Source organism: Homo sapiens, chromosome 17, assembly GCF_000001405.40.
Source record: "Homo sapiens chromosome 17, GRCh38.p14 Primary Assembly".
Classification (NCBI taxonomy): domain Eukaryota; kingdom Metazoa; phylum Chordata; class Mammalia; order Primates; family Hominidae; genus Homo; species Homo sapiens.
In genome coordinates, this window is record NC_000017.11 from 43,139,489 (window position 1) to 43,148,082 (window position 8,594).

Sequence of the window (8,594 nt, forward strand, 5' to 3'; positions counted from 1 at the left end):
TGGGACTGCAGGTGCCTGCCACCACGTCCAGCTAATTTTTTATGTTTAGTAGAGATGGGGTTTCACCATCTTGGCCAGGCTGGTCTCGAACTCCTGACCTTGCGATCCACCCACCTCGGCCTCCCAAAGTGCTGGGATTACAGGCGTGAGCCACCGTGCCTGGCCAGTACCCAGTAGTTTTTTTGGCTCCTCTCCCTCCTCCCACCCTTCACCCTCAGGTAGGGCCCAGTGTCTGTTGTTCCCTTCTTTGTGTTTATGAGTTCTCATCATTTAGCTCCCACTTATAAGTGAGAACGTGTGGTGTTTGGTTTTCTGTTCCTTTCTTAGTTTGCTGAGGATAATGGCCTCAAGATCCATCTGTGTTCCTACAAAAGAGATGATCTTGTTCTTTTTTATGATTGCACATCTTTTGTTCTAACGTTTGGTCCTTCACCTTGGTTCCTGACACAAGGATTCCTAAATCCCTTGGAATTTTCTGCATGATAGGAGCGTCCTTTGTTCTCATGAGGTGACTCTTGGTGGGCTCCTTATTTGGGGACTGGTCACCAAAAATACCTAACTATGGTTGGAAGCTTAGTGCTTTCAGCCCCATTCCCCATCCTCTGGGGTGGGGAGCAGAGCTGGAGCTCGATCATGCCTGCGTGACAAAGCCTCCAGAAAAATCCTTGAAAGACAGGACATGGAGAGCTGCTGGGTTGGCGAACACATCCATGTGCCGGGAGGATGGTGCACCCCAACTCCACAAGGACCCTTCCAGACCTCACCCTGTGTATCTCTTCATCTGGCTGTTCATTTGTATCCTTTAAAATATCCTTTGTAATAAATCAGCAATAGTAAGTAAACTATTTTCCTGGGTTTTGTGAGCTGTTCTAGCAAATGGTCAAACCTGAGGAGGGAGTTGTGGGGACCTCCAATTTATAGCCAGTTGGTCAGATGCATAGGTGATGCTTGGCCTTGCACCTGGGGTCTGACGTGAGGGCGGTCCTGTGTGACTGAGCCCTTAACCTGTGGAGTCTGGTGCTCACTCTGCTTAGGGCTTCTCTGCCTTTGTAGTGTCCTGTCTAGAAGGCCTTTCCTTCCTCTTTTCTGCTCAGAAAACTTTTCTTCCACTTCCCTTCTTCTAAGCCATCCCTTATATCTACTCCTTTCCAGCCGACCAAGAGCAGAACCACGGCTGGCTCCACTGCCAGCATGCTGTCCCACACTGTCTCCTCAGGATGTATTCAGATGTCCGGCCCTCTCCCTAGTCTAGGAGCCCTTTGAGGAAAGGGATGCTGTCCTAGTCAACTCTTTCCCAGCGCCAGGCACAACGTCTGGCATGTTCCATCTTTTTCATGGACTCTCCCCAGGCGGCCTGACCTTCCCTCCTCTGAACTGCTGCATTTCCTGTCTGCATCATGTTTGCCCTAATCAGACATCGCCTTATTTCATCATCCTTTAAAAAATGCTTTATTTCTCTGGCAGATTTCATTGGAATCAGAATTTTCTTTCATTTAGTAGCTGTTGGCCTTGTGTCCACCTTTCTGTGGCACTCAGGTCTCACTTAAGAGCTGGCCCTCTGAGCTATGGTTTGCCGTCAGTGAGATGGAGACAGAGGCAGCCCTAGGCAGTCATGTTTTGTTCCACCTGACCCTGGGCACCCCTCCCCCTCCCAGGCTACTGGCAGGGATGGGCACCGGCCTGGGAGAGACAGCTCATCCACAGGCTGGCCCAGCAGAAACTCTGGGCTCAGACAAAACTGCTCAATTGAGGACAAACTGGGCAAAATAGAATCTTACTTTGGGAGTTTTTAGAAATATGGTTGGGGTAGCATTGGGGAATAATAAGAATTGTAGCCAGGCATGGTGGTGCATGCCTGTAGACCCCCAGCTACTCTGGAGGCTGAGGCAGGAGGATCTTTTGAGCCCTAGAGCTTGAGGCTGCAGTGAGCTATGAATGCACCACTGCACTCCAGGCTGGGTGACACATCAAGACCCTGTCTCAAAAGAAAAATGTGCACATTTGAGATACATAAAAAAATTTTTTGTTATATAAAAAAAAATTATCACCGGGCACGGTGGCTCACACCTGTAATCCAGCACTTTGGGAGGCTGAGGCGGGCGGATCACGAGGTCAGGAGATCGAGACCATCTTGGTTAACATGGTGAAACCCCATCTCTACTAAAAACAAAAAATTAGCCAGGTGTGGTGACGGGCACCTGTAGTCCCAGCTACTTGGGAGGCTGAGGCAGGAGAATGGCGTGAACCTGGGAGGCGGAGCTTGCAGTGAGCCGAGATCGCACCACTGCACTCCAACCTGGGCGACAGACCGAAAAAAAAAATTTAGCATAAAAATGTGAAATTATGTAAATATGCCAAAATAGGAACCTGGAGGTGCTTGGAATCCAGACTTTGGGAGCCCAGCAGTGCAAGGATCTCTACTCTTGGCTTCTTTTTTTCTTGAGATGGAGTCTTGCTCTGTTGCCCAGGCTGGTGTGCAGTGGCCCAGTCTCGGCTCACTGCAACCTCCGTCTCCTGGGTTCAAGCAATTCTCCCTGCTTCAGCCTCCTGAGTAACTGGGATTACAGGAGCACATGACCATCCCCAGCTAATTTTTGTATTTTTTAGTAGAGACGGGGTTTTGCCATGTTGGCCAGGCTGGTCTTGAACTCCTGACCTCAGGTGGTCCACCCACCTCAGCCTCCCAAAGTGCTGGAATTACAGGCGTGAGCCACTGTGCCCAGCCTAGTCTTGGCTTCTTGTCAACTCCCTGCTTATGTCCAACACTCACCCCTATTACAGAGCTGGTGTGGGGGAGTTTCTGTCCTGGTGACTTAACAGTGTAATTAAAGTGCTTAGCACTGTACCTGACCACAGCTGGTGCCCAACAAACAGCAGCTGCCATCATTCTCACCATCCGTATGTTATTGTTATTGACTCTTCAATGGCAACCATGGCTTATCCCCCTTTATCTCCCTATGTCCTACAGCCGGACAGAGGAATGGTTACAAGGCTTTGAGCCTAACAGTGCTGGCTTAAAACCGTAACTTGTCGTTTTGGATGTGTGGCCTTGGACACTTGGGCAGGTCACCTACGTCCTTCTAGCCCTGTATCCTTATCTGTCAGATGATGATTTTAAAAACTATGCTTCCATGGATTGCTGGGCTAAATCATATAAGACTGTAAAATGCCTAACCCAGGATTTGGCATCAAGTAAGCAAATTGTAAATGGTAGCTGCTGTTCTGCCTATGACTATTTAGTCTTGTGCTTTACTTTTTATTTAATTATTTTTAAGACAGAGTTTCAGTCTTATTGCCCAGGCAGGAGTGCAATGGCGTGATCTTGGCTCACCACAACCTCCACTTCCCAGGTTCAAGTGATTCTCCTACCTCAGCCTCCTGAGTAGCTGGGATTACAGGCATGTGCCACCATGCCCGGCTAATTTTTGTGTGTGTGTGTGTGTGTGTGTGTGTATATATATATGTGTGTGTGTGTGTGTATATATATGTGTGTATATATATATGTATATATGTATATATGTGTGCATATATATGTATATATGTGTGTATATATATGTATATATGTGTATATATATATGTATATATATGTGTGTGTGTATATTTATTTATTTATTTATTTATTTTATTTTTTTTGGTAGACACGGGTTTCTCCATGTTGGTTAGGCTGGTCTTGAACTCCCAACCTCAGGTGATCCGCCTGCCTTGGCCTCCCAAAATGTTGGGATTACAGGCATAAACCACCATGCCCGGCCTAGTCTTGTGCTTTAGACTCAAATATTTGTTGGCCCACTGAAGTCACCACACAGATAAAGACACTTTTCATTCTCAGTAAGGAACTTTGGGAGATAATTGGGGCAGGCAGCTAAAGAACAGGTGTCTTTTGTCTGACATCAGCAAACTCATGGAAACCGATGGGCGGCTCACTTTGCTTAGAACCCCCACAGCACGCACACAGGGCTGCTTCCCAGTCACACTGCTCCTGGGATGGGGGTGCTGCTGTTCTGCAGTTAGCACTGTTCTTTACTTCCTATTACTGAACTGCCAGCGTTCATTTGTGTTCAGTTAGGTAGATTACCAATTCTTGTTCATTCAGATTTTCTTTTGCTCACTAATGTGTTTCATGTTCACTAACTTACCAAATGTGATTTATTAGTGACTTTTTTTTTGAAGATGGAGTGGAGGAATCCTTGCGCCTTCTGCAGCATTCTGCTGCCGTTATGGAACAGTGCATCTATGGAAGTGCATCAGCGGGGGATGGGGAGAGGCTAGGGCAGTACACGTGAATGGAGAGGTAGCCCCACCAGTATGTTTTCTGAAATACAGTCCCGCAGAGGGCAGTCTTGGGAAATTACTGCTCTCACACACTCTTCTTGACCCTATCCCTCCAGCACCTCCCTGCTATCCAAAGGTTGGGATTTTTAAAAAGAAAAATAAATTATAAAAAAAACCAGGCCGGGTGCGGTGGCTCAGTCCTGTAATCCCAGCACTTTGGGAGGCTGAGGCGGGCAGATCACAAGGTCAGGAGATCGAGACCATCCTGGCTAAGATGGTGAAACCCTGTCTCTACTAAGAATACAAAAAGAAATTAGCTGGGCATGCTGGCGGGCGCCTGTAGTCCCACCTACTCGGGAGGCTGAGGCAGGAGAATGGCGTGAACCTGGGAGGCGGAGGTTGCAGTGAGCCGAGATTGCACCACTGCACTCCAGCCTGGGTGACAGAGCGAGACTCCATCTCAATAAAAAAAATAAAGTGAATTTTCCTCCATCTTGTAAGGGCGAAAAGCCCCCTACCATGTCTGAATGAACATTCATGCATGGGCTTGAGGGCTTGGGAAAAAGACAGGGCTTGGCCACACAGTGCAGGTAGGCCCAGTGATCCTATGAGAGGGGCCAGGAGGTGGTAGGTCCCCTGTGGGCAGGAGGTCAAGTATGTGGTATTATACTTGATGAACCAGGGGAGAGGGCACCAAGAACAACGATATTTAATTGTAAAATCTCCACCCTCTGAGGATATGTTTTTAGGTCTGGATGACTAATTAGACTGGGAAACAAGGCAGGGAAAGATGGCCCTGTGCTTCCTCTGCCTGCTGCCTTTGTGGATGCGTGGGCCGCCAGCTTCAGTCCTGCTTTTCTTTCTGATGGCCCTTGTTATTTATGCATAAATATTTAACTACACATTTAAATGTCTTACTGCATGGCTAGAATTAGTTATATATATTCTTTAATATAAGAAAAATAAGAGCAGCTCCGAGGGCAGGCATGGTGGCTCATGCCTGTAATCCCAGCACTTTGGGAGGCCGAGGCAGGTGGTTCATCTAAGGTCTGGAGTTCGAGACCAGCCTGGCCAACATAGCGAGAGCAGCTCCGGTGGCGGGAGGAGTGGCAGCGGCCAGGCAGCCCAGCTTCGCGAAGGCTGTAGGCACACCGCGGCCAGCAGGCACCTGGCACCCACCTTCCCTGCTGCCAGGATGCCCAAGAAAAAGGTCAGCTCCACCGAAGGGGCTGCCATGGAAGAGCCCAAGAGGAGATCAGCGCAATTGTCAGCTAAACCTCCTGCAAAAGTGGAAGCGAAGCCGAAAAAGGCAGCAGCGAAGGATAAATTTTCAGACACAAAAGTGCAAAAAAAGGGAAAAGGGGAGCAAAGGGAAAACAGGCCGAAGTGGCTAACCAAAAAACTAAAGAAGATTTACCTGCAGAAAACAGGGGAAACGAAAACTGAGGAGAGTCCAGCCTCTGATGAAGCAGGAGATAAAGAAGCCAAGTCTGATGAATACCATAGACCATGTCTTATCAGTGGTCCCTGTCTCCCTTCTTTACAATTCAGAGGAATTTTTTTTCTTTCTTTTTTTTTTTTTTTGAGACAGAGTCTCGCTCTGTCGCCCAGGCTGCAGTGCAGTGGTGCGATCTCGGCTCACTGCAAGCTCCGCCTCCCGGGTTCACGCCATTCTCCTGTCTCAGCCTCCCGTGTAGCTGGGACTACAGGCGCCCACCATCACGCCCGGCTAATTTTTTGTATTTTTAGTAGAGATGGGGTTTCACCGCATTAGCCAGGATGGTCTCGATCTCCTGACCTCGTGATCCGCCCGCCTCGGCCTCCCAAAGTGCTGGGATTACAGGCGTGAGCCACTGCGCCCGGCCTCCAGAGGAATATTTTTATCAACTATTTTGTAAATGCAAGTTTTTTAGTAGCTCTAGAAACATTTTTGAGAAGGAGGGAATCCCACCTCATTCCATTTTTTAAGTGTAAATGCTTTTTTTTAAGAGGTGAAATCATTTGCTGGTTGTTTATTTTTTGGTACAACCAGAAAATTGTGTAGGATATTGAATTATGGGAGACTTTGACAGTCTCGGGTGTCAGCTTAACATTCCATAGATGGGGGTTAGTTTTTATATCCTGTAATACAAAGCATATTAAATGGCAATATGGAGTCAGTCCTGCATTTAATGTCTTGAACATTTTAAATTACTTCCATCCCCATGTTGTTTTGTAGTAGAATTGTTTCCTAAAGAAAACAACTCCTTGATTATGGCTCACCCTGTTGGAGTTGTGGGCACTCTGTAACATCTTTGGTTGTGGTAGTCCTGTTTTCCTAATAACTTTGTTATTGTGAAGTGAAATACTAAAAATTTGAATATGTAGTATACATGCTATTCAGTTGTGAACTGTGGGCCATACATAACAGCTGATCAACATGTGAAGATATGGGTACTTAGTCTCTTAAGGAAAATTTGCTTCCAAATTTTAAGCTGGAAAGTCACTGGGATAACTTTTAAAAAGAATTACAGTACGTGGCTTTTTAGATTTTTGTTACTTTTTTTTTTTTTTTTTTTTTTTTTTTGAGATGGAGTCTCACTCTGTGGCCAAAGCTGGAGTGCAGTGGTGCAATCTTGGCTTACTGCAAGCTCTGCCTCCCGGGTTCACGCCATTCTCCTGCCTTAGCCTCCCAAGTAGCTGGGACTACAGGCACCCTCCACCATGCCTGGCTAATTTTTCGTATTTTTAGTAGAGACGGGGTTTCACTGTATTAGCCAGGATGGTCTCGATCTCCTGACCTCGTGATCTGCCTGCCTCAGCCTCCCAAAGTCTTGGGATTACAGGCGTGAGCCATGAAACCTGGCCGATTTTTGTTACATATGTTAAGAATTGTGTACAAATTGAAATGTCTGTACTGACCCTCAACCAATAAAATCTCAATTATGAAAGAAAAAAAAAGAAAAATAAGTAATTTTACAGGAGGCCTGAGGTGGGCTAGGGTCACTCTGTGTTCTCCTCCTAGGGCAGGGCCTCACTCTCTTCCCCTCTCAGCAGCCGACTCTCCTGTTGAGATCTTCTCTGTTGGGGATTCAACATCCCTGGGATAAGAATAACAATGCCAAGGTTTTGACTCTTGAAAGGAGCAATTAAGTTTCTCACCCCCTCCTCATTTTAGATGGGAACCATGAGGGCCCCGTCGTTTACCCCGCATCACTGTTGAAGATCTCATCCTCACTGGAAGACTCCTTGTCCTGCAGCCTCATGGCTTTTTTTTTTTTTAAGATGGAGTTTCACTCTTGTTGCCCAGGCTAGAGTGCAATGGCGTGATCTCGGCTCACCGCAACCTCTGCCTCCTGGGTTCAAGCAATTCTGCCTTAGCCTCCCAAGTAGCTGAGATTACAGGCTGCGCCACCGCGCCCGGCTAATTTTGTATTTTTAGTAGCGACGGGGTTTCTTTTTTATTTTGAGACAGAGTCTCGCTCTGTAGCCCAGGCTGGAGTGCAGTGGCACGATCTCGGCTCACGGCAAGCTCTGCCTTCCAGGTTCACACCATTCTCCTGCCTCAGCCTCCTGAGTAGCTGGGACTACAGGTGCCCGCCACCACGCCCGGCTAATTTTTTGTATTTTTAGTAGAGACGGGGTTTCACTGTGTTAGCCAGGATGGTCTCGATCTCCTGACCTCGTGATCTGCCCGCCTCGGCCTCCCAAAGTGCTGGGATTACAGGCGTGAGCCACCGTGCCCGGCAGTAGTGACAGGGTTTCACCATGTTGGTCAGGCTGGTCTCAAACTCCCAACCTCAAGTGATCCACCCGCCTCGGCCTCCCAAAGCGCTGGGATTACACGTGTAAGCCATCCCGCCTGGCCTTTCTAGTTAGAATTCTGTGAGGTTTGTATAAAAGGAATAGAGTGGGGGCCCAAAAACCAGTAAGATGAGAAAGTACTGTTTGCTCAGTTCTAGGATCCATGAAATAAATAATAAATAAATAAAAAAGAGAAAGTAGTGTTTCCTGCCACTTTAGAGGAAGGACTCACATATCCTACCTTCCATCAGCCTTGAAGGAGATGAGTGCCCTCTCCAACACCTGGTGGCCTTCCCTACCCCTTCCCCAAAGCCTCCAAGAAGGCCCCTGGCCTAGCCTGATGCCCACTATCAGCAGGAACAGGCACGACAAACTTTCCCCTTCCTATCCCTCCCCACCTCTGGAAAGGGCTGGGGACAGCAGATGTGTCCTTGTTAGTTCCATCCATTTCAGCTTTGGCTGGGGAGCTAATTTCACTGGAGCCAGGATAAGCATTAGGGTAAGTAACTATTTTTCCTGTCTTGGGCAGTTTCCTCACT

General features: G+C 47.6%; 1 protein-coding gene, 1 long non-coding RNA gene and 1 pseudogene across 3 annotated transcripts in view, besides 1 other annotated feature; 2 read left to right on the top strand and 1 right to left on the bottom strand.

The window, feature by feature from the left end:
- Positions 1 to 8,594, bottom strand: part of BRCA1 (BRCA1 DNA repair associated) — a 126,033-nt gene that overhangs the window by 95,194 nt on the left and 22,245 nt on the right. The gene's annotated exons all lie outside the window — the stretch shown is intronic.
- The window catches only part of NBR2 (neighbor of BRCA1 lncRNA 2), a 28,115-nt gene that overhangs the window by 13,932 nt on the left and 5,589 nt on the right, over positions 1 to 8,594 (top strand). Inside the window, exons 4-5 of one of the 2 annotated variants that reach the window (NR_003108.2) lie at positions 328 to 795; positions 5,240 to 5,740. This is a non-coding gene — a long non-coding RNA (neighbor of BRCA1 lncRNA 2). Of the gene's footprint in view, positions 1 to 327; positions 796 to 2,968; positions 3,089 to 5,239; positions 5,741 to 8,594 lie in introns of those variants that run through there. The other variant, NR_138145.1, reaches the window with a different exon arrangement.
- Positions 5,357 to 5,835, top strand: HMGN1P29 (high mobility group nucleosome binding domain 1 pseudogene 29; annotated as a pseudogene).
- Positions 7,094 to 7,703: an enhancer, noted in NCBI's record as "OCT4-NANOG-H3K4me1 hESC enhancer chr17:41298599-41299208 (GRCh37/hg19 assembly coordinates)". NCBI's record gives its function as "activates a minimal SCP1, AML or CMV promoter by ChIP-STARR-seq in naive and primed H9 embryonic stem cells {active_cell/tissue: H9 hESC(naive and primed)}" and the evidence as "EXISTENCE:reporter gene assay evidence [ECO:0000049][PMID:30033119]".